At 36.6% G+C, this 26,516-nt stretch overlaps 1 long non-coding RNA gene across 1 annotated transcript in view, besides 1 other annotated feature; it reads right to left on the bottom strand.

Moving 5' to 3' along the window:
- LOC646736 (uncharacterized) overlaps positions 1-26,516 on the bottom strand; it is a 37,269-nt gene that overhangs the window by 2,933 nt on the left and 7,820 nt on the right. The window contains exons 3-5 of the long non-coding RNA NR_046102.1: positions 12,586-12,742; positions 11,907-11,961; positions 2,315-2,383 (exon numbers count right to left, since the gene is read on the bottom strand). This is a non-coding gene — a long non-coding RNA (uncharacterized LOC646736). The remainder of the gene's footprint in view (positions 1-2,314; positions 2,384-11,906; positions 11,962-12,585; positions 12,743-26,516) is intronic.
- Positions 16,903-17,197: an enhancer, noted in NCBI's record as "tiled region #2716; HepG2 Activating DNase matched - State 5:Enh". NCBI's record gives its function as "activates a minimal TATA promoter and a strong SV40 promoter by Sharpr-MPRA in HepG2 cells {active_cell/tissue: HepG2}" and the evidence as "EXISTENCE:reporter gene assay evidence [ECO:0000049][PMID:27701403]".

Below are 26,516 nucleotides of genomic sequence, written 5' to 3'. Positions count from 1 at the left end.
ACAAAGGTGTCAATTTCTCTGCATCCTCACCAGCACTGGTTATTTTCTGGGTTTTTTTTTTTTTCTTTTTGATAGTTGCCATTTTCATGGGTGGGAGTGATATCTCATTGTGGTTTAGATTTGCATTTCTCTAATGATTAATGATGTTGAGTATCTTTTCATATGTTTGTTGATCATTTGCATATCCTCTTTGGAGAAATGTTTATTCTTTTGCCCATTTTAAAATCAAGTTTCAATGCTTCCTGCTATTTATTTTAAATGTGCTTTACAAGTTAGAACTTGTGAATTTTGACCAGCATGATGTAATGCCACTCAGCATGGCTTTTCAGGCTGGTGTCGGGCTGGTAGAAGGATGAGTTAGAATGAGCAAGGCCAAAACTCAGAGTTCAGACAGGGGCAGGGGAAGATAGATAGTCCAGAGAGAATCATTCCTTTCTTCCTTCATGCAAACACACGTGCAAATAGCAAGGATTTGTTCCATGCTGCCATGTGCTAGGCACTGAGCTAGAGATATGAAAAGGGACACAAAGTGGGACAGGATACCTTTGGGGTTTGGAAGGTAGAATCTGCACTTAGACTGCTTGGGTGTGAATTTTAGCTGCAGTATCTGCAGCGTGTGGACATATTTTGACTGGGTTACATCATAAAGAGCTTTTATCTCATGCTAAGGGCTTACTTGTAAAGCTGTAAGACTGGGACCCATTGAAGGGTTTTAGGTATTACAAGCTTCAAAGAAAAACAAATGAAATAATCTAAACTTTTAAGGAAACTATCATAGAAAGACAGATTTAGAAAACAGAAAGGGGAATAAAATCCCCCTAAAAGCAAGGGCTGTAATGGACACAATTAAATGCTAGGGTCTTGGTTCTATAGTTCTATAGTTGACTAGTTATATGACCTGACAAAGTCATTTTAACTCTCTGGCCCAAGGTTTTCTTATATATAAAACAGGGATAATGCCTTACAAAACTTAAAAAAAATAATTAACTAAGAAGATGTACTCAAAAGTGTATTGCAAGGGTTTCTTTTTTAATTTTTCTTTCTTTTTTTTTTTTTTTTTTTTTTGGCACACAGGAGCAGTATGCTGTGTTTTAAAGGACATTTTAAAAATTGGCTTGGTTTCCTCTACTCACACCATTTTAGCCCCCGCATTTGGGGCTATTTCACCCTCATTTGCAAGCTTAGACCCGAGCCAGGGTCTGAGATTCATCAGGCTCCAACCCATGCCAGTTTAGTTTTTTTCTGATGTTTTTCTTTTTTTTCCCCCCAGAAATTTGGCTATTATACTTTAAAAAAAAAAAAAAATCTTGCTTAGACTGTTTGCTCCCCTATTTTCTTCTTCCCTTTCCCCTCAGCATCATGTATTGGAAAAAAGGTGAAAGTCTGGATTAATGAATCCAAAAATTAATGTTACCTTGTATTTTTACCTGTATTGTTACTTGTATTTTTCTAAGGCACCATAATCACACTACAAAGAGGTGAAGACACACAACACTACAGTGAAGGATAGAATGCTAGTTCCAGTTTGATTTTCATTATTTTTCAAGATTTTCTTTGGCGCTGAGTATTCTGTTGAAAATTTTTTTACACTGAAATATCAGGAGATAGAGTTTTAGGAGAATACACAACCAGGTGTATGCCCTGGACAGTCTATCTCAGAAACACAAATGTTTTGTTCTTTCCAGAAGGGAAAGAAGAGAGCAGCAACTGGCCACCTGGCACTCCTGCAACTCCTCTCTGATCAGGAAGGAAACTGCCTGGGCTCCTGTGGAAAATTAGCTTATTCTCATGGCTTTGGAATATGTTTCTCCATTCATTAAGAATATCTTTCTATCAGAATGGGCTAGGGGAGAAGCAAGAGAGAAATTTACTTTTTGATCTAGAGATCAAAAACTGAAAAGCCTTTGTTTGTTTGTTTGTTTTTATAAGAAAGAATAGCAGAACAGAATTAGAATGTAGATTTGAAGAAACATAAGGAAAAATAAATCCATGATTATGTGAATTGATTAATGTATTGTGTGTTTCTTTGACTATTTTAATTATTAATATATAAATATAAATCAGGCTGCGGAAGACTAGGAGGAAGATTATGTGCTTCCTGATCAAATTATAGCCCCAGCACATGGCACAGTGGCTATAGTAGATATTCAATAAACACTTGTTAAATGAAAGAAGGTAAGGAGAAGGAAGAAAGGAATGAAATACATAGGGAAGGCGAAAAGGAGGGAGTGATCAAAGAAGGCAAGAAGGAACATATACAACTGACGTGTGATTTCTCTGTTGAAACTGACAAGGGTACAATTGCATTATTTACCTTGTTCAATAAAATAAATCTGAAGATTTTCACAAACAATGTTGTGGAGTGAGCATTCCATATTCTTATCTATAATAAACAACAGGGATGAAGTGAACATTTGAGGGAGAACCTTGGTAATGAATTATTAGATAAATTATTTCATGCAGTTTCCATTCACTTTTCAAAAACAAAGAGATTGGATTAGAATCATCCATTCACATTGACATTCATCAATAAAGTTATAGATGACTCAGCAATTATCTAACCCAAAGCCTTAATTGAAGATGCAGCTGTCTGGAAATATTCTCCCCCGCTACTTCCAAAATACCTCCTTTAAATTTGAATTGTGGAATGTTTCTTTATTGGAAAAATAAGAGCTAACATTTATTCAGTGTTGACAATGTGGTGTGAACACCTATTCTAATCACATAGACACACACACATAAAATCCTTTAATTTTCACTAGAACTCAAGATATGATAGATATTATCATAGAGCCCAGTTTTACAGATGAAGAAACTGAAGAATGGAGAGGTTAAGTAACCTGCTTAGTAGAAGCAGAATTCAAGTTCAGACCAACTGACTCCAGAGGCTGTGCTTATATCTACTGTGTCTCATTGTACTTTCTGCTTATATTTTAAGTCTTTATGTGCATGGTTTGTTTTTGCTTCTAGTACAGTGGTTCTCAACTAGGGGATTGTTAGCAAATCTGGAGATATTTTTGAGGTGCAAGAAATGTGGTGGAACATTCTAGAATGCACAGGACAGTGTACCACAACAAAGAATTATCTAGCCAGAGGTTGAGAAACCTTGTTGCAGAGTATTAGACACTAAAGGACAAGAATTATGCCTTACTTACATTTGTATAGCATTTGGAACAGAGTTGGCTGAAAATTAATATTTGTCCATGAAAAACTTAAGTTACCTAGTCTGTTAAAAGGAAGGAGTTTTACATAATAATCAATAAGGTACTACTGAACTCTAACTCAGCAAATTAATGTCTGTGTCCTGGAAACATACAGTTTACCTATTGAGGCCAAGGTACTGGTTTTTCCTGCCTCTTAACTGTATGATGCTATGTTATGAAATTATATAGATTAAAAGCAAAAGAGTATAGGTGAGTATCATTAGAAAAAAAGGTAAGTAAGCATACAAAATATAGTTTTTATTTAATGAATATGAGAAACAGATGGAAAAGTGATATTACTCACCTTAAGAATTTACCAGCTGCAAGGAAAGTATAATTTATACAAAATTTTGGAATGAATGAGTTTTATACCTAACATCATTAGGCTAATGGCACTACAAATCATAACAAAAAGATAAAATTTTAGTTTAACAAAGCTTATTATGAATTGTTCTTGTAAAATTCTTTGTGCTTATATGGCACAAGACAGACTATGGTTCCTTAGTCTACCTCAATCCGGGGCTCAAATTTTTTGGAGTCTAACTTGTCAACAGAGAACCCTTCCCCAGCTCAAAGACAATAGCATCTCCCCTCCTTTTTGTTGACTTTCTGCAGGTAAGGTGCCCTGCTTTGTTGCTCCATGAGAATACTAAAATAAAAGTGCTACATAAAGGATAATTGTTGCAAACTGATAGTGTCTCTCTTTCATGGACTTTCAGAAAACAGGAGCTAAAATACACCTTTGAGCTAGCTCCATAAGGGAGAGAAAGTAGAAAAATGCTCTGACGCAACAATAAGGTACCATCTGATTTAATAGGAGTCAGGGTTCTCGGTAGCCTTCAGCGTCCTGCCGGGACACTTCATGAAACTGAAGAGACTCTCAGGTTCAGAATGTCTTTCTTTTAAAAAATTTAACAGTAGTGTTATCTCAAAAGTCTTGTAGCCTGCTCCATTTTTATGGTATTTTGAATGGAATTCTTCCTATTTTCCTGGAATCTATCAGCCTCAAACCTGTGGGCAAAGTGAGCTGGAAAGTCAGACATTCCACAAACAGGAAACAAACATCTCCAAGCTATTATAACCCAGCCCCAGTGGAGATAAGCAAAACAGCAAAACACCAGCAGAGAGAAGTTTGCTATGAAGTAATAATCACCACAAAAAAAAAATGCAAAAACAAAAACCCCATATTATTAGGAATTGAAGAGCTTGGGATTTTGTTATACTAAGCTAAGATAATCAAATAATGTATTATGCCCTGTCGCTGAAATTCTGAAAATGCTGAGGGCAAAGTAGTCTCTGATCCTGTGGACTGATTGATCCTTCAAAGGACCCTGTGAGGCTGTCATGGGACTTACCTGGACAGCTTTTGCAGTAACCGCTGAATGAAACCACTGAAGCGCCTCTCTAAGGATCTGTAACTCTCTAGTTACAAGGGAGAGTTTCACCTTCAAGCGTCACTGAAAACACAGATTGAATCCCAAGCCCAGGTGGTTGGCTTTTCTTTCAAACTCCCAGGCATGGCATTTTTGTGGGAGTGTACCATTCAGAGTGATTCATTTGTTATATTTCATTATGTTCAGGTCTGTGATTTTTTTTTTTAAATAGTGCTTTTTTCAGATTTTTTGATGGTAGCTCTTTTAAGAGAATTGTTAGCTGGGCACGGTGGCTCATGCCTGTAATCCCAGCACTTTGGGAGGCTGAGGTGGGAGGATCACTTGAGGTCAGGAGTTCGAGACCAGCCTGACCAACACGGTGAAACCCCATTTCTACTAAACAGACCAAAATTAGCTGGGCCTGGTGGTGGGTGCTTGTAATCCCAGCTACTCAGGAGGCTGAGGCAGGAGTATCGCTTGAACCCAGGAGGCAGAGGTTGTGATGAGCTGATACCGTGTCACTGCACTCCAGTCTGGGTGACAGAGTGAGACCCCATTTAAAAAAAAAAAATTGTTGACTATTCCTAGATAGGGACAAAAATTAAATGAAAAATGGCAATACCAATAGACAATAATGCAGCTGTGTAGGGTCACAGTGTCTGTGATTTGTTTCTAATATCGTTATTTTTATGACAATTTTTTTTCTTTTTTTTTTTGAGACAGTCTCCCTCTGTCGCCCATTCAGTGGCATGATCTCAGCTCACTGCAACCTCTGCCCACAAGATTCAAGCAATTCACCTGCCTCAGCCTCCCAAGTATCTCAGCTAATTGTTGTATTTTTAGTAGAGAGGGGGTTTTACCATGTTGTCCAGGTTGGTCTCGACCCCCTGACCTCAAGTGATCTGCCCGCCTCGGCCTCCCAAAGTGCTGGGATTACAGATGTGAGCCACCATGCCTGGCCAATTTTTATGTTAATTCTTAAATTTATTCCTAATGGTGCTTTTTTTCTCAAGGATTTACATGACCTATTGTCTTTAATTATGATTCATTTTATAACCAAAAAATATCTCAAATAAGTTAATGGTCACCATCTTCACTGTCCCGGCCTTAGTACAAAATATACCATCTCTCCTACCCAAGCTACTGCAACAGACTCCGAAACCCTATGTCCACACTGTCTCTTGCCAATCTATTACCCTTGAGGCAGCTATCATGTTTGATTATCTGAGACACTTGTTTTAAACCCTTTATTTTTAAAGACGTTTATTTTCTTTAAGAAGAAATCTAAATTTTTAAGATATGACTGACAATGTTTATCAAGACCTGCCCCTTCTCCAGCCTCATGTTGCATCAACCCCTCATACATCCCCCACCATACCTACAGACTCAGCTCAGCCACTGTGGCCATCTTTCAATTCTTCCAGTTCTCCAAATAGCCTTTGACATGCTCTTGCCTCTATCTAGGATACCCTCCTCCCTGCTCTCTGGCAAACTCACACTTATCTTTCATGTTACAACTTACATGCAACTTCTTCTTAAAAAAAAAAAAAATCTCCCTTAGCTAACTCATCTAAACTGTCTGCACCTCATTATTATCTTCCAAAATACTTTGTATCCCAAGTGCTCCCCAGTGCTTGGTGCATTATGAATACACAGTAAATATTTGTTAAATAAGTTTAAAAATGGTCAAATGTATAAATATGGGACATTATTTTTAATAATGCTGATGGTAAAATTAATGCATTTTTGCACCAGCAGTATAGTGAAAGGTAAAATCTTTTAAATGATTTTTCAACTACCAGGCATTTTAGTCTTTCAGCTTAAAAAATATAATCACAAATTACAAGCTATCAAAGCAATTTCAAACAATCAGCTGGGGGACTTGTCTGCACAAAGCCTATTATGTTTGAGCCCTAGTGCCTCTCTGGATGGAAAAGGATGGAGTGTGTTGGGAGAAGTGTCTGATACTGTGGTGTGGCCATATGGGGCTTGTATGAGACTAGTTGGACACTGAATGTGAGGAGAAAGTGTAGGTTGGGCAGACCTAGCTGTACATAGACAGACATGGGACCAGAAACTATGTGGAAGCCCAAGATTAAACATAAGTATTGTAGCAGAGAATGCCTGTGTTGAGTAAACAAAGACAAAAGGCTAGACAGTATTCAGCAGGTCTGGTTTCCAAGGGTAAAATAAAAGAAGCAGGAGCATTAGCAGGAATGTAGGTCCTCTGCTGCAACCTTGCAACTAGCAGGACCAGCATCAGACTCCAAGGAAGAAACCCTAAACTTTGAGCTACGGAATTTTTGAGCACACGTCCCTTTCCTGATGTGATCAGAAGTTGAGATCAACATTAGATCATTTGGCAGAACTTTGGTTCCAGCCTAATTCCATTGGCTCAGCATGCATGGTTGCAGCAGACCCAGCTCCTACTGTGCTATGATCAGTGGGCTGGAAATAAGCCCAGTGGATATAATTCACATGATATAGTGGATGGATAACTGAATTCATCAGCTCAGAATTCTTCCGGGATTGAGTGTCTTAAACACTTGACTATAGATGGTACCCATGGCACTTTATGAGTGGCTAATCTGCAAGGAATCACTCTTAGACAAAGTACTCCTTCTCTATCAAGTCTTGCCCATCAATAGCCATGCTTTTTTCCCTTGTTCCCTGACACACAATCAGACTTTGTTTCCCAGGCTCCTTGAGGTTAGTTGTGGCTACATTATTGAGTTTTGGCCAAAAGAATGCGGGTAATGGAATATAGATACCATTTCTAGATCTGATTTCCACAAATTCCTGGGTACCCTTTCATCTTTCCCAATATCTGTTGACTGTAGGAGATCTGATGGAATATGCTAAGGCCTTAAAAGGTACAGGAGCCATACAGTTGAAGAATCCTGGCCTTGAAATGACTATACAAAGCTAAGCTCCTTGCTAATACACATTAGATTTGGTATGAGCAAGAAATCAACCTGTGATTTGTTAAATCACTGAGATTTGAGGGATTGTCTATACAGCAGCTAATGTTACATACTCTGAATAATAAGCATATAAAGTAAGAGGCTGGTAGTTGAAGATAAGTAGAGAGCTAAATAGCACATGAAATGCATGAAAGATCAAGGCCCACTTGGCAGATGGGCAGATTCTACTGGACAAAAAAGTGCTATGTCAATGGGTTATTTTTGAGTTTTGTTCACTAAATTATAAAATCAGAGATATATATTTTGCCATTGGAACTCTACTTACTGTATCCTGATCTATTTAATGGATTTGCATGGTAAAGCACCCCTTGCCTTTTCTCTTTCCTTTCCCCACTACCTTGCCAAATATTTTACACATCCCAAAGTCAGTCAACATTAACATTTGCAAATGCTCCTGAGTGAGTACATTCAGCTAACATTGATGAAGCTCCTACTCTGTGCTGTCACTGCTAAGTGCTGAGGCTGAAAATGCAGTAAGACTTGTCTTTATTTAAGGCATCGAGAATCTAGTGTAGGATACAGCTGTTTAAATAACACGAACACTGTGTGCTGTAATTGAGAAGCATACAAGACAACAAAAAAGAACAGCCATCTAGTTAATATCAATTACATCATTAATTTTTTTTTAACATAGAACTTACAACTTTGAATTTATGTTTGTTTTGTTTATTTTATTTTCCCTGACCTTTTTCATTCCATATCCTTAGTGTATTGCCTGGTGATACTCAATAAATATTTGTCGAATAAATAAATGAAAATGGGTCAGTGAACTCTGTTCTTATTCATCTGAAAGAGGAGATCTAACATCAGGTTAGGAATTTGGACTTTATCCTGTAAATGGTGGGGGTTCAAAAGAGTTGTGATTCAGACAGTGAAATGATAAGAGTTTTATTTTGAAAATTTACTCTGAGATCTGAATGGAAGAGATTGCAGACAGTCAAGCTGTAGGCACGATAATTAGAGAATGATCATAATAGATTAGAAAGAAGACTAAACAATGACAGTATCAATGAGAAGAGAGGGAAGTGTAAAGTAATGAGAGTGACTGAGAAATTTAAAAAAATGACAGGGCTAGAGTATCTATTGGATATGGTGAAAAATGTTGGGGAAAGGAGGTAAATGAACCCCAGGTTTTTTGCTTGGATAATTACAGAGACAGGAATTCTGTTTGACAAACATTTTGGAGAAAACAAAATAATCGGTCCAACTTGGACAGTTTGGGCTAAACATAATGGTAGAACATATAGTTTGAGTTGGCAAGAGGCAGGAAAATATACGGACTTGGAACTGAGAAATTAGATAAGAACTAGAGGTAAAAGTTTGTGAATCATCTAAACATAGGTGGTAGTGAAGGATGAAGCAAGGATAAGATCGGCCAGAAAGGGTAAGAATCTTGATCAGAGAAAGACAACAGGTCAAAATCACTAAGGTGCTTTTTAAAATTAGACAAAATCTCCCACCTCCAACTTAGCTTTGCAAATATATGAGCTTCTGTTGCTGTTGCATACTGGGGCCCTCAGTGTACCTGGCTTGAAATACACTTGAGAACCACTGGGCTGAGAATGATACGTGGAGACCAAGAAGAGAACCCTGGCAAAAAACAAAACAATTTTAAGAGTTAGCACACAAAGAGGGGCTCGGGAAGAATATTGGTACCATTGTAAAATGTAAGAGAATACACACAAGCAAGACAAAACCCAGAAAAATGTCCTTAAATCTGTAGGTATTGAAAGTTTCAAGAACCAACAGTGATCAACAGTGTTAACTACTGGTACATCAAGCAACACAAACACTTCAAGGTCCCTATTAAATTTGACAAGTGGCAGGCTCTTTATGATCTTGGTGACAGCATCCAGATTTTATGGTGAACTTACAAGTGAACAGAAAGTGAGGAGCTAGAAAAAACAAATGTTTTTAACTCTTTTTAAAAGGTTGAACTGTGGAAAATGTTAGTGATAAGGCAGTGAAGATCCAAGCATGATGAAAGTATTATTTCATCCTGTTTTTTTCAGGTGAGGCTGAAAGAGATGAAGTTCAGATGAAATAATTTTTTTTTTTAAGATCCATGGGAAAGGGTGATCAGGGATGAGACTGGAGAGTCAAGCCACAGGATAATGGCCCCATGCACATAAAGCCTCACCAAAAAGTCTGGGAACACAATGAAGGATTTTAAAATAGATGTTGAAGAGATCACATTTTTATTTAAGACAAACTACTCTGAAGTATTATGGCGATTGAATTAACTAAAGACGAATGAGAGAAAACTAGCTATAATGCTGTTCTAGTAATATCAGTGAAAAGCGATGAACTACGTCAGTTACGTTAGAGAAGGGTGGCAACTGAAATGAACAAATACTTGGGAATGAAAATCAAAATGAACTTTCGATGGACTGGAGTTAGAAAGTGATGGAGGGAGACATGGTTAGAGAGTTCCCAGGTTTCTAACTTGAGTGATAGGATTGATATGTTACTGTTAATGAAAATAAGAAATAATGGAGGAGAAGCCAAACTGGAGGAAATATCATTGATTCAGGGTGAGATATGTTGAAATTGTGGTTCAAAACATCTTTGCAAGTGGATATTCAAGAAGATATGTGGTAGGAGCTCAATAGAGAGTGCTGGAATAGTTATGTATATTGGAGATTGCTTGATAAATTGTCCTGTAATAAATCAGGGCTGTAGATAAGATACATCTAGAGTGAAAAGAAAAGCAGATATCGGATCACACATATGGGAAATTTATTTGAAGGGCAGTCAAAGGAAGAGGCATCCATAAAGAAGACTGGAATACTATGATCAGAGAGTTAGGAAAAAAAAAGAAAAAGAAAAAACTAAGAGATACAAGAACCACAGAGTTTAAGACTCAGTGTACCTGACAGTCAGTTGGTAGCCAACGAGTGTTAAGTTCACTTCACTTGGTGATATAAAGTGGGACTGAAAAGGACCAATAAGACCAGGAAGATCAAGTTAGAGATGAGTTCAGAAATGTCCATTTGGCACAATTGATTACTGGATATCTTACTGATCAAGTTTTTAAGTCGTGATCCAGATGGAAATAAAATTTAGTGGGGTTAAGGTAGAAAGGACTGTGTGGAAAATTCAAGACAAAATGTGTCAGTCTTTCTGGACATTGTCTAAGGTGCTATTTACTCCTGAAATATTTCAAAAGACTGATAGTAAATATTTAGGACTTAGAGTGTTCTTAATAATATGCATATCATGTCTTCTACATTTCTCTAAAGACTGTTTCATAAGTAGGTTAGTGGAAAGTGGAACAGATTCTAACACAAGTCTAGCATGATGGTCTCACGTCACTTTGCTTTATCACAAACTGATGATCGCCAGATCACTTTGGAGACATGTCTGAATATATTTTATCAAATAATGATAGCTATCATTTATAGAGGGCTTACACTTTGCCACACATCATAGCCAGTATTTTAAATAGATTATCTGTTTCATTTAATTATCACATCACTTAACCAGTGAATACTAATATGATCATTATATCATAAATGATGAAATTAGTTGCAGAAAAATAATGTGCCCACAGGGGTCCATCTAAGTGGTAGAGAGGTTTTGCCAAGAAGTCTGATAATTGCACCTGCGATCTTACTCATTGTACCTCACTTTCTTCTGCAATTTGCACATTCTTTTTTTTCTTTTTTCTTTTCTTTTCTTTTTTTTTTTTTTTTTTACACAAGCAGCATGTTATAAGCGGCAGTTTTAAAATTTAGCACAAAGGTAGTGCTTTGCAATCAATATTTTTTCACGAAACCAAAAATAGTCAAGTTAGGAAGAGAAAGAAAATGTGCTGTTCCTGCACCTTTAATTTTAGTACTCAATACAAGACAATCAAGAAAAATCAAGCAACTTATTTTGCCAAGACAAGGTAAGATTCCAAAAATCTTTCGTATTGTGGCTGGCAAAATTTGTTTGTGCATCCATTGTGAATATTTGTGGTCAGAATTTTTGAAAGCAAGTAATTTTATGCACCAGGGCTGATCGCTAGTTGTTCAGATTAGTAATTTTTCCAAAATTAAATTCTACCAATCTATGCAAACAACTACAGCTTGTTTGAAACGCCATAGCGTCTTTATGGCAGTTTTAGCTTAAGTTCCAAAATTCCATTCTTACCTTTCCTAAGATGACATTGTTTAATATTTTGACATGCTTATTGAATAGGAAGGGGTTTATCAAGAGACTGTGCCTCTCAGTATTCACTGAAAAATATTTAAATAGCATCTTCTAAATACTTATCACTCAGTTGTATTGATAACGGTCAAATAATTAGACAAGACTAGAGTAATCCCACTGATATACATTTCACAATTCCACATAATTACCTTCAGGCATTTCATAAAATTCCACTGCTCAGTTGATTGCTAATCCTGATAAATCCTTTGCGGGAAACAAAAATAAATAAATAAATAAGAAAAGAAGAAGAAGAAAAAGAGGGAATTAAAATGTCCTTGGAAAGTGTAGGCTTTTATTCTTTGTCTCCCCAGTTGCTACTTCACTCCATCATTTGCTTGATCTATCTATCTATCTATCTATCTATCTATCTATCTATCTATCCATCCATCCATCCATCTATGCATCCATCCATCTATTAATATCATCTATGTATCAAATGCTTCCAAATACATAATATACATGATACAGTCAGAGAAAGCAGAAAGTTTAAAGATTGAGTGTGATTATAGACATATCTATCTATTCAGAAACAAAATGGATTCAGAATCATTACAACTCTCACTGTGTAGTGGAATTGATTAGTTGCAGACGGTTTATGACAGATTCAAGTGAAGGTGGCAGGTTTCCATCAATCACTACCTCTGTCAGCTACAGCTGACAGACTCTACTGTGTTTCCAGGAATGGAGCTGCCACTGATTGCTCACACTTCTGAATATGGAGTCATAACCATCATCTCACATCCTAGACTCAATATTAAGAGAGTACTAGACTTTCTTGCTCCTGAAAGGGCTACTAGAATTTCCAGGCCAGAGATGAAATGTGCTTACTTAATCTTTCTAGGCTTGATTAATTTCTTCCTCTTCCAGAAAGCCTCTCCTTATTTCCTGTAGCAGGGACAATCCTGAGTGGTTCTTGAAGTCCTTTTCATTTTCTTTCTGGGCACACAAGAGGACTAGGTTCTGCAGTCTGATTGCCTTAGAGAAACTGAATTCCGGCCAATAAGATGTGTAGGGAATGTAGATTAATCATTTTTTTTTTTAAACAGAGTCTCACTCTGTCACCCAGGCTAGAGTGCAGTGGCACGATCTCAGCTCACTGCAACCTCTGCCTCCTGGGTTCAAGAAATTCTCTTGCCTCAGCCTCCTGAGTAGCTGGGATTACAGGTGTCTGCCACCATGCTCAGCTAATTTTGTACTTTTAGTAGAGATGAGGTTTCGCCATGTTGGCCAGGCTGGTCTCGAGCTCCTGACCTCAGAAAATCTACCCATCTCTGCCTCCCAAAGTGCTGGGATTACAGGTGTGAGCCACCACGCCTGGCCAATCAATTCTTTTACACCACAAAGTGTTAAAAAAATATATTCTTTTTTATCTTAAATAAAATGCTAAGGTCTTTGATAAAAATAATAATATGCTGTTTCTTGGCCTATTATTATTTTTAAAAAGAGATAGTTGGCCCAATCTGTGAGTCAAGGTATTTTTAGCCTTTTAAAAATATGGACATACTTATAGTAACTTATTTCATATTTTTTCTACTAAAATGATATTTCAGACCCAAATATACAAATTGTATTCTCAAAGCTTTTTTTTTTTTTTTTAAATGATGTCCTAAAGATGGCAACAAAAGAAACTGGGGACTACTAGAGAGGAGAGATTGGGAGGGGGACAAAGGTTGAAAAACTAACCATTGGGTGCTATGCTCAGTACATGGGTAATGGGATTAATTGTGCCCCAAACCTCAGCATTATGTAATATATCCAGATAACAAACCTGCACATGTACCACTTGAATCTAAAATAAAAGTAGAAATTATTAAAAAAAAATAGATGTCCATAGCTGGAATGATAGGAAAGATACAGAACACCAAGTTGGGACAGAGGACCAGAGCATGAATGTTACTTAAGTCCGAAATAAAGAAAAGGTTCTCTTGTGTTGTTGTTTTGCTTAGACAAAGGGAACTCTAGGGAAAAAAGGATCATGACAATTAAAGAGACCCCAAAGAGCAGATGCAAACTGAATTTTACCATAAGTCAATCAACTGGGCCTAGGTTGATCTTAGAGCTCATTAAACTCCTTTTCTGGGATCAGCTTATGGAAGGCCAATCCTGTGGCCACCATTCCCCTTTGAGAGCCCATCACGCAGCATTCTGATGGCCTGGTGTTGTGTTGCAGAGGCATGTTGGAGGGTGACTGGTGGCAAAATGCAGTACACAGATGATTAACAATTGTTTGCCATGGACTGGCCTCATGTTGAAGGTGGTTAAGGGATAGGCATACATGAAACATGGTCAAAAGCTTCCACCAAACTTCTTTTAGTTTCTCTTCTCTCAGCCTCACCTAATGTATAATATTTTAAAGCTTTCTTTGTGAAAAATAAAAATGAATTAGCAGTAGAAAAATCATGAACAGTATTTGGTGAAAGTTCTAAATGTGGTTAAGAATAATTTAATTCAAATAGTAAATTTCCTGGTCTTACATTTCTTCTTCCTTATTCTGACAAAAACAAACAAACAAACAAACAAACAACAACAACAACAACAAAAACCCTCAACTTTCCTTTGGGAACCCATTCTTCTCATTTTTTTTAGCCAGTTATTGGCTGGGATGGCAGTGATGGCCAGGGTGGGGCATAGCACCCAGGCTTGGCCAATGAGAATTCCCAATCCCCCTTGTAGTCTCATGTCTCCCACGTGGTTCTAATCATAGTGAATCTGTGTTTCTGTGCTGTATGTACTGGGAATGGATGCTCTCTTATTCTGTTGGACTTAAATTTCAGAGAATGAATATAGAAAGCTACTGCTAGCTTCTTCCCATCACATGTAGCCTAAAGAGGTAGACAACACCACAGAGAGATGGGTAGAGACAAGCTAAACCAAAAGAAGGAGAGAAAATTCGTTGTAATTGGCATCATTTTAAAACAGGGATTTCTCAATCATATGTGCCAATAAATTATCTTTTTCTTTCAGTTTGAGATTATTTTCTTGCAAGTGATTGAATAAATAGCTGAATAAATACTGTATATTTCTCATTTTGAAGAAACAACTATACTACTGTACTGAAGCTTTTATTGACATTCTAACAGTATGTATTTGGGAAATTTATCAGGAACATTTTTATTAGGTGTGTTTCAAGGGAGAAATTAAGTAAAATAAATAAACACTTCTTTGGAGTGCCAGTTTTGGTATATATTAAATTCTGGTATCTATTCTCAGCAAAATACATATCAACAGGTAAGTCAGTACATACCCAAGGGAATATTTCATAGTTTTTCCTGTTTTGAAAATAAGTATTTGGCTGGTCAAAGGGAAACTGAATAAAAGAATTAGAAGGCCCGGCACAGTGGCTCATGCCTGTAATCCCAGCACTTTGGGAGGCTGAGGTGCGTGGATCACTTGAGGTCAGGAGTTCAAGACCAGGCTGGCCAACATGGTGAAACCCTGTCTCTACTAAAAATACAAAAATTAGCCAGATGTGATGACATACACATGTAATCCTAGCTACGGGGGAGGCTGAGGCATGAGAATTGCTTGAACCTGGGAGGTGGATGTTGCAGTGAGCCAAGATCATGCCACTGCACTCCGTGCTGGGCAACTGAGTGAGACCCCATCTCAAAAAACTCAAAAAAGAGTTAAAATAAATCACTGTCTATTGTGCCAAAGAGCTGTTGAAGTCATCATTCTTAGAAGAATAGACAGATGGTATTTCAAGGCTTGATTTATAGCAATCATATTTAATCACAACTTAATGGTCCATAAATATATGTGCTGTTATCAGTGGAACTGTTTCAGAAAACAGACATAATCTTAACTTTCTTTGTAAAGGATCAGCTAGTAAACATGTTAGGCTTTGCAGGTCATACAGTCTTTGTTGTAACTATTCAACTCCGCCACTGTTTTGTGAATGCAGCAATAGGCAATATGCAAATGATTGACCATGACTGTGTTCTAAAAACACTTTATTTATGGACACTGAGAGCTTAATTTCATGTTTCATGCCTTTCATGAAGTGCTATTTTCTTTTAAATTTCGGTTGATTTTTTTTAACCATATTAAAATATAGAAAACATTCTTAGCTCTCACACTAAAATGGGTGGTCTGCCCTTTTGGCTGATTTGGCCCAAGTGCTGTAATTTGCCCACTCCTGTTATCTTAAAGGCAAGTCCAGCCTTCCATGATCCTCAGTCTCTCGGTAAACCAAAAAGTTATTTTCCCATATCTAACTTTTACTTTTTGGTAATCGGTGAATCATTTGAAAATGGTCTATTTATAGTATTAAAATTCAGGTTTAGCTTTCAATTCTACATGTTTGATGACTCAAAAAGAGGTGTTCTTGTTTTCTTTTTAAATATTACCACGAGAAAGTAAATGAGAAGTGTCAGTTGATAAGTGTTTTTTGTTTTTGTTTTTTATGAGATGGATTCTCGCCCTATCGCCCAGGCTGGAGGGCTATGGTGCAATCTCAGCTCACTGCAACCTCCGCCTCCTGGGTTCAAATGATTCTCCTGCCTCAGCCTCCCAAGTAGCTTGGATTACAGGTGCCTGCCACCACACCCAGCTAATTTTTGTATTTTCAGTAGAGATGATGTTTCACCATGTTGGTCAGACTGGTCTCGAACTCTGGACCTCAGGTGATCCACCTGCCTCAGCCTCCCAAAGTGCTGGGATTACAGGGATGAGCCACCATATCCAGCCTGATAAGTTTTTAAATTAGAAAAAAATTTATTTAATAATAGAATCATACTAGAGGATGGGTACCAAGAATTTTCTCTTGTTTTTCCGTGTTTTAGGAATATGCATAAGGAAAAGAATTAACCCAAATATTGAAAGATGTACAAAAATATGAGGGATGTCATGAGGATATTAATTACTAATGTTGGTTGATATGTATTTGAGAAAGGCACAAAACAATGGAAACTTTTTTTTTGCATGAGCTCAAAAGTGGGGTATAATTTTGGCAAGTGTTTGATTGACAAGGGGCTATTTTGTTGATGGCAGCTTCTTTTATTATGATATCAAGAAAATATAGATTAGTGGCATGTTTTGAACAGCATAATCTGCCTTAAATAGGGTCGTTGGGAATAGGTTTACCAACAGAATTTCTCAAATAGGCTTTTCTGTCTCCTGTCTTTCAGCGGGTAGAGAAGGGACTATGTTACAAACTTTAACCTCTAAAGCAATAACTGCAGTGATAAACAAGGGTAGAGTTTAAATTTCAAAAGATTTACTGCTTGGAAAAAAAAGAAACAAAACGAAAACAAATCGCTTTTGAAGCTGACAAACAGACATATCTCCTCCCTAAGTTAAATTTACCTTTGGATTTAAAAACAGAAAATGTCAGGCAAAGCACAACTGAACTTCCAATCAAAGAAGCTATTGTTTTACAAGCTGGGAAGCCTGCATTCTTGACATTCCTCTCTAAAATACACAAGACCCCTGAGACACCTTTTTGCTCCTTCCAACCTTGCATGAATTTTAAATAAAACTGAAATCTCTTTAAAGCATAGGCTTAGGATATTTACATGTAAACAGATAATATTCCAAGATTTATGTCCTGTAGATGCAGGTATGATTGGAAATAAGATTTTTATTTACATTTATACTAGAAATGATAAGAAATGGATCATCATATTTTCCCAGACTAGAAGTTACCCACAATTCCAAAAAAATAAAGAGAAATATGATGTATTGTTAACTTCAGAAAAAGACTGATGATTTGTTTAAGTTCCTTATAGATTCTGGATATTAGACCTTTGTCAGATGCATAGTTTGCAAATATTTTCTCTAATTCTGTAGGTTGTCTGTTTACTCTGTTGATAGTTTCTTTTGTTGTACAGAAGCCCTTTCATTTAATTGGTTCCCATTTGTTGTTTTTTTTGTTTCTGTTGCAACTGCTTTTGGAGACTTTCTCGTGAAATCTTTGCCAAGATCTATGTCCAGAATGGTATTTCCTAGGTTTTCCTCTAGGGTTTTTATTGTTTTTGTTCTTATATTTAAGTCTTTAATACATCTTGGATTGATTTTTTGCATATAGTGAAAGGAAGGGGTACAGTTTTAATCTTCTACATGTGGCTAACCAGTTACCCCAGCATTATTTATTGAATAGGGAGTCTTTTCCCTATTGCTTGCTATTGTTGACTTTCTCAAAAATCAGATGGTTGTAGGTGTGCAGTTTTATTTCTGGGTTCTCTAACCCATTTCATTGGTCTATGTGTCTGTTTTTGTATTAGTACCATGCTGTTTTTGTATTAGTACCATGCTGTTTTGGTACTAATACATGCAGCCTTGTATTACAGTTTAAAGCCAAGTAGGGTGATGCCTCCCGCTTTGATCTTTTTGCTTAGAATTGCTTTGGCTATTCGGGCTCTTTTTAGGTTCCATATGAATTTTAAAATAGATTTTTCTAACTCTGTAAAAAATGATGTTAGTAGTTTGATAGGAATCATATTGAATCTGTACATCACTTTGGGCAATACAGCTATTTTAACAATATTGATTCTTCCTGTCCATAAGCATGGAATGTTTTTCCATCTGTTTGTGTCATCTCTGATTTCTTTCAGCAGCATTTTGTAATTCACATTGTAGGGATCTTTCACCTTGCTGATTAGCTGAATTCCCAGGTATTTTATTCTTTTTGTAGTTATTGTGAATGGGATTACATTCTTGATTTGGCTTGGATGTTACTGCTGTATAGAAATATTACTGATCTTTTACATTGATTTTGTGTCCTGAAACTTTACTGAAGTTTATCAGTCTGCAGGAGCCTTTGGGCAGAGACTATGGGGTTTTCTAGGTATAGAATCATATCATATGTGAAGAGAGATAGTTTGGCTTCCTCTTTTCCTATTTGGATACCTTTTATCTCTTTCTCTTGCCTGATTACTCTGACTAGGACTTTCAGTACTATGTTAAGTAGGAGTGGTGACAGTGGGCATTGTTATTCTTGTTGTAGTGCTCAAGGAGAATGCGTCCAGCTTTTGCCTGTTCAGTATGATGTTGGCTGTGCATTTGTCATAGACAGCTCTTATTATTCTGAAGTATGTTCCTTCAATGCCCAGTCTGTTGAAGGTTTTTAACATGAAGGGATGTTGAGTTTTATTAAAAGCCTTTTCTCAGAGAACTTAAAGCAGAATAACCATTCAATCCAGCAATCCCATTACCCAAAGGAATATAAATTACTCTACCAAAAAGACACATGCATTTATATGTTCATCACAGCACTATTCACAGTAGCAAAGACATGGAATCAACCAAGATGCCCAACAACAGTGAACTGGGTAAAGAAAATGTGGTTCACAGTCATAAAAAAAAGAGGAAAATCAGTCCTTTGCAGCAACATGGATGCAGCCGGAGGTCATTATCCTAAGTGAATTATCGCTGGAATGGAAAACCAATGCATATTCTCTCTTACAAGTGAGAGCTACACATTGAGTGCACATGGACACAAAGAGAGGAATGAGAGATACCAGGGTCTACTTGAGGGTAGAGGCTAAGGGGAGTCTGAGAGTCAAAAAACTGCCTGTCAGTTACTGTGTTCACAACATGAGTGATGAAATAATTTGTATACCAAACCTCAGCAACATGCAATTTACCCATGCAACAAACCTACACACATACCCCCCTGAACCAAAAAGTTGAAAAAGAAAAAAATAAATTGTATAAAAATGGAATATGGCAATTGTAAATAAGTGGTACTGCAAAAAGCAATAGAAATTAGAAAGGAATCAATGTGGACTGTGCATTTAAATAAAACATAGCTGAAGCAATGGGTTTGAGCCAGACCAGATGGGTAGGCAGGGTTTATATTGCAAGGGAATGAACTGAGGAGGCTTTCTGGACAAGAACAAACCTGGGAATGAACACTAGGAACTGACTGGGGATCTGGGATAAAGCAAACTAAACACAGAAGAAGTTTTGTACAGCTGAGAAAAAAGACAAAAATCAGTATAAGCTTCATTAGGAATGTATAGGATTCGTGGAGTGTAACCATAATGCCACTTAATTTTGTATTCTGTCTCTTTAAAATTCATTGAAGGGATTTCTTTCTCTGCCTGAGCTATATCTTGGGGCATGAGATGACTATGCAAATAAGTACCATGGATTCTTAAGTCACCAAACAGAATCTTCGTTCAGAAATTAGAATGTCCAAATGCATTTAATATGCAAAACTCCAAACTTGATTAAAGTTAAATTTTCTCAACTCCTCCAGTTGGAGCCTGCCTCAAACAAGAAGCCAGGAATGGAGATGTGGTCCTCATTACCTCCATCTCTCTCTCTCCCCATCATACTGAGACTGGGTTCTGATCCACCCTAGCAGCAGGAGTGTGGCGGAACTGAGGGCAAAAATAAAGGTGAAAGGAAGATATCCCTTGACCAGCATTGCTGTATGACGGTGTTGCACTCTCTGGGCCTGGCAAGTGTTTCAAGCTGCCTCTTGCTTTGTAAATGCCTACCTGGTTTGTGCAGAGGTTTCCATGAAAAAAAAAAAAAGACTGTGCTGCAATGATGCAGACTACCACCTTCCATTCACCCCTCGTGACTGCCCACCCCTCACAGACTGTCCCTGTTGAATCTCATTACACATCTAGTTGTTCATGACCTAGGATATTTATTCTGGGGTGAGCGTGTGGTGGGATTGCTCACCAGTAACTCAGAGATTACTATAAGGGAAGTAAAATCCAGTTCTTAACCTTTCTCTCCTGAGCCAAGGTTTCTACAGACTGATAGGAGGCCTAGGAAGGGTCTTAGGTCTATTTTGAGCCTCCATCCTTGACTAACTTATATATTTAGACATATTTAAAAACATAATATGTCATAATAATATTTGACATATTTAAAAACACATCTTAAGATGATTTTAAATGTCATTGTATTTAGATGCCATTGTTGCATCTAGACTTTTGGTAATAGGAAAAACCATCTTTGAAATTGACTGGGTTCATCACAGTGATCTGAATGTGTCTATACTTGTGTACTGAGATCACACACACACAAACCCTGAAGGAATGAGGGGAGTGATTTTGCCTAATGAATATAAATTTAGAATAAGGCAAACATTCTTAAGCTCTTTGTGCTATGGACTTTGCAGTATGGTAAAGCCTATAGACCTCCTTCTGAGGAAAAAAAAAGTTTTTCAAATGCATAAAATAAAATGCACATGATCCTAAAGGAAATAAATTATATTGAAGTATAGTTATAAAATAATTAAAAAGTGATATAGTAATGTCTGTTTCTCTTTTTTCCTTCTTTTTTTTGTTTTGCCTTCACTTGGCATGAACAAAATGTGTTTCTTTATTATATAATAAGAGTTAGTGTCAGGGCCAAGAACATTATATTTTAGAAGTATTGGTCCATGAAAATGGTATTCCATAATATCTCCTACAATTGAAATGTGATATGTGATATGACATACATGATTTCCGTTGGTGACACAGTTGGAGGTGTTGCAAATACTGCTGCAGTTTGTTTCATAAATTCCTAGTTAAGTAAAGTGCCACATGTCAGAGAACAGGGAAAACAAAGGTTTCTGAATTCCATCCTGGATAAAAAGCAATCTGCTTGCATATTGTCACTGCCTGTTTCAGTGAAATATTGCTAGTCTCTCCACTGAGGAGGTTTAGTCCATAGTATTTAATGAAAGATTTACCCATTCCTTGAATCTTGTTTACTGATTCCTCCCATCCCTTCTTTTCTTCCGGTAGATTGTCACAGTCTGTTTACAATGCTCAGTTCAGCCTGGCTTCCCTCATCAGCAAGGCGTGGTCCCTAGCTATTGAAAAATATTACTATTTCACAGGACAGCAGTTTTTTGTTTTATTTCTCCTAGCACTTTCCTGTGCATTGGGGCACTCATCTACACTGGATATGACTTTTGAAAGAACAGGAAGGGATCTATCAGGACCAACAGTTTTCCTTTTGCCTAATAAGATAATGATGGCACCAAAAATAAAATCCCTCCCTTCCCTCTGGAAATGCAGGCCTCCTGATGGGATTTCTACTTTGCCTCTCCAGCAGTGTGAAATGACCCAGGGAAAGACTTAATAAGTAGATGTCAGCCCCAGTGTAAGCAGAAAAAAAAAATGATGAATGGACCACTAGGCAACCCTATCCCAGCACAGTTTGGCCGTGGACTTTGCATTAGATTCTGTAGTTTTTCTGTCTTAAATATCATCAGGGATTCTCAAGTAGTTTCAGCCTGAGGCTATTACTCCTAATAATTGAGACTGATGAAAGGTCGTGGTATTTTTACAGTTTAGTTGTGGCACGCTATATATCACTTTGCTTCCGTCAAAGAAAATATTATACACTTCATTGGGAAAAGGTTTGATCCTGAGTTTTTCCTCTGCAAGTTGTCTACAATGTATTTACTTGGGTTTACCTACAAACTTTACATTTAAAATGCTCCAGAAAATTGCCTGGTACCAGAATGAGATCATTCAGGTAGAAAGCAAATGTTTCAGGATCATTAGGAAATTAATTACATGAAATGATTGACACGTTCCAGCTAGAGAGGAAGTGTTTCATACAGCCGTGCTTGTTTGAATACAACACTACAGATCCCTTGTGAAAAGCTGCTTACCGTGCTAAAATAGGAAAAGTGACTTAGGAGGAAAATCAACAGTGTTAGAAAATTGTCTAGTCAGGGAGTTTCAGCTCTGTGGTGATTAATTTTCTTTTCCTAGTTATGCCTAGTTATTGGTGGTTTCTGAGTTTCTATATAAAGGCTGGCACCCCAGCCATAAGTGCCTTGGAAATTTGTTGTTGTTGTTTTTTTTTTAATCAGGGAAACATTTTATTATTTGGCGGTTGGGGGGGGGGGAATGGGAGTGTACAAATTGAGGTGACTAGTAATAAAAAGAACAAGTTATTTATGATAAAGGAAATAGCACATATTAAAACCCAGAAAATCTGTCTGAAGTATTCAGAGGAAAATTCACAGTGTCAAATTCTGTATAAGTTGAATGACCCATACAGAAAAATAGAAAACATGTAAAGTAAGCTTGTAACCGAAGAATCCTCTCAAAGTCTTAAGGAGGACAACAAGAAAAAGTAACAATAAAAAGTAAAAATAAATATAGGTTTTTTTAAAAAAAGATATACTGGGTTTAATATATCTTAAAATTATTTACTTATGAAAACTTTTGCAAATATTATACATTTCAATTTTTAAGAAAGGTTTTAAGTAGAAAAAAAATCTGAATAACCAGACATAGAATGCTATAAAAGTTTCCAGTACCTGCTGCTGTAATGGTGAATTTGAATGGACTGCACACTTTATTCTTCTGAATCAATGCTAGAGAGACTACAGAAGCTCAAGGAAAGTATAGGTTAAGGAAAATAACAATAATTAAGAAAATAAATCAAGCTGAGATTGAAGACTACCAAGAAGCAGTCTCTGTGTGGAGAGGGCTGTGGTATGTCTGCAGCAGGAGCACAGGATAATAGGAGGCAGATAAAGGTGAGTAGTGTGGGGGAAAGCTGTTTTAGTTTTGTTTTTCCCTTTCTGTGTCACCTTGGCATAACCAGTTTCTTTGCCACGAAAAATATAGGACAGCCCAGGCCACAGAAGCTATCAAACGGTAGGTTTGCAGATGATGGTGGGTCTGGACTGCTGCTGCTCTCTAGCCTTACTTTTTTGTGTACTCTTCCTCCAACCCCCTCAATAAACTAAACAGGAAATTGCTTATTTAAAGTAGTTTAAAAGTGAATCTTTGACTAGGAGACTTATATAGTGGTTAACATGATGCTGTGGGGCCTGGGTTTCTCAGCCCTGGGGCATGTCCCTTCCCCTCTTTATAAACACAATGGAGAGACGCAGGCAAGGGCCTAGCCTTTGGGTCTACCCCAAAACATGTTATCAGGAATACCAAAATTAATAGACACCTGTGGAGTACACTCATTAAAGAAACAAATATTCAGATGTATATACATATATATGTGTGTGTGTGTGTGTGTGTGTGTGTATATATATATATATATACACACACACATGTAAAATAGAACGGAATTTTGGGACAAACCAAGAAATATAATAAATATGCACAAAGAGCTAAGAGAAAATAGACAGATACATGTGTGTATGTGTGTGTAATCTCCCTCTGACTTTATTAGGAATAAAATATAATACTTAAAACAAAGAACACATAGAAGGGATAAACACCAGGATGGATACAGCTAAAGAAAAAGCTGGGAATTAGACAGCTGAAAAGTCACATGGAAAAACTCCACAGGAACAGAAACTGATGAAGAAAAATAAAATAATAAGCCAGGCTAGAAGATGGAGAAAGAGACCATCCCGGCTAAAACGGTGAAACCCCGTCTCTACTAAAAATACAAAAAATTAGCCGGGCGTAGTGGCGGGCGCCTGTAGTCCCAGCTGCTTGGGAGGCTGAGGCAGGAGAATGGCGTGAACCCGGGAGGCGGAGCTTGCAGTGAGCCGAGGTCCCGCCACTGCACTCCAGCCTGGGCGACAGAGCGAGACTCCGTCTCAAAAAAAAAAAAAAAAAAAAAAAAAAAAAAAAAGAAGATGGAGAAAGAATCAACATATAGTAATGGGAGTCTCAGAAGACAAGGAAAAAAACAGAAAAGAGAACATGTCTTTAGAAATAATGAATATACAGTTTAAAAATTTCAAAAAGATTACATACCTTGCATTAAAAAGGCTCTTAGAGTATCAATTTGGAGAGAATTAAAAACCTACATCTTGACATATTGCAGCAATATTTTAAAACATTGGAGGGAAATATATTATTCTAAAAGTCTCTATAGAGGAAGAATAAATCATGGCAAAATAATAATCAGATTGATGCCAAATTTTTCAGTACCAATGCTGGATATAAAATAGAAACATAGAAATATTTTTAAATTATGAAGAAAAATAAATTCTACCACACTTTTATTTCAAGCCAAATTATTATTTAAATATGTGTGTAATCTGTTATAATAGCATAAAATACCTCAGAATGTTTACTACACAGTCTAAGAGGAAATATTGAGATTAAAAAAAAGAAATCAATGAGTAGCGGATGCCATAACATATGGGAAATATGTTTGAATAACTTGGTAAAGATTATTGTGGTTTAATACTCCTATAATAGATAGCCAAAAACATTGAGATAATTTCGAAAGAACAAATCCTCCAAATAGTCCTGAACCAGATTGAATGATGGACTTATTCACCAAATTTCTGAATAATTGGTATTTATAAATATAACATACTTTTTTCAATAACCTAGAGAAATATTTCAATGGACCTATCAATTTATCTTATAAATAAAAGTTTAAAATAAAATTTAATAAATAGACTAAAATAAAAGGTGACAACTAATCTCTATTTTAAATATTGGTATAAATATTATATTTAAAATATTGGTATAAATATTACATTTAAAATATTGAATTTAATATTTTGAAATAGGAATAGCAAAGAGAATTTATGACAGGAATGTAACTATGAAGTTATATTTGGTTATATAAAACTATAGTTTATTTAAATAGGCTAATTAAGGAAAAAATCTTAAGTGTCACTGGAAAGATAACTGATATAATTCTACTCGTATTTGTTATTAAAAATAAAACCTTTAAAATAACTATAAAAATGGTTAAGTATTAGTTTATTATTTGAACTAGGAGCCAGGAGACTTCTAGTTGGGATAATGTAATTTCAGATATTTAAGGACCCCATCTGCACCAGACGTATAGCATAATGGTAAAATATAAAAAGAAGAAATGACTATGCATATGAACCACAAGTAAAAGTTAAATATTTCTGTGGATGAAAAAAGATAAAATGAACTTAAAGCTTCAAGTATGCAGGGATTCTGAAATGATACATGTGGCATTACCAGAATAAATATTGTTCACTGAGGCAGTCTCTTTACTGAAAACTGAGGGCTGAGGAAGCTCATCTCCTTGAAAAGAGGTTGAAAAAAAACAAGCTAAGTCTAACTAGAGCCTGAAGCTACACTGTAGTTATAATTATAAACCAGGGACGTCAAAGGAGCAGGCATCACCTAGCAACCAAGACTTGGGTCAAGCTGCCCTCTGGTTTCATGAGTTGATCAACATTGTTCTCAGTATCACTGTGGGAAAGGTCTCAATAGCTAGCATAAGATCTAGCCCCAGACTGCTATCCAACTTCAGGCAACTGTGAAAAATTGTTAAAGGAAAAAAATAAAAGGGTGGGGTGAAAGTATGTAGGAAGAAAAGGAGAACTAAAATTTCCATTTAATATCAGCCTGCAACCTAAGCTATTAAAACACAGAAAGTAAACTAATGCTAAGACAGACAACCAACAATTTGAAGGTTAATTCACCCCAAGGAAAACGAAAATAATAGAATGTGCAAAAATGATTTTAAAATGAGTGTGCTTTAAATCATGTAATGAATAAAGAACTTAGAATGCAGTAAATGAACAAGAATTTATGAAGCAAACATGGGTAGATATAAGATATCCAGGCATTATTAAAATGAGAAAGACTGGAAATTTAAAAAAAATCTTAATTTAAAATAAAATCTCAATATATGGAATACTCTCAAGATAGCAGCAAGGAGATTTGGTGAACTGAAAAATAGTAACAAAGAATTCATCTAGAAGGTGGGGCACAGAAATAAAGTAGGATTTCTCATCAACACTTTTGTCACTTAGGGCTAAATAATTATTTGTTGTGGGGAGTGTCCTGTACATTGCAGAGTTTTAGCAGCATCTATAACCTCTACCCACTACATGCCCATAGCACCCCCTCCCCAGTTGCGACAACCAAAAC

Source organism: Homo sapiens, chromosome 2 (assembly GCF_000001405.40).
Source record: "Homo sapiens chromosome 2, GRCh38.p14 Primary Assembly".
In the NCBI taxonomy this organism is placed as follows: Eukaryota; Metazoa; Chordata; class Mammalia; order Primates; family Hominidae; genus Homo; species Homo sapiens.
The sequence above is the reverse complement of the archived record's forward strand: the minus strand, read 5'-3'. Positions and strand labels throughout refer to the sequence as shown.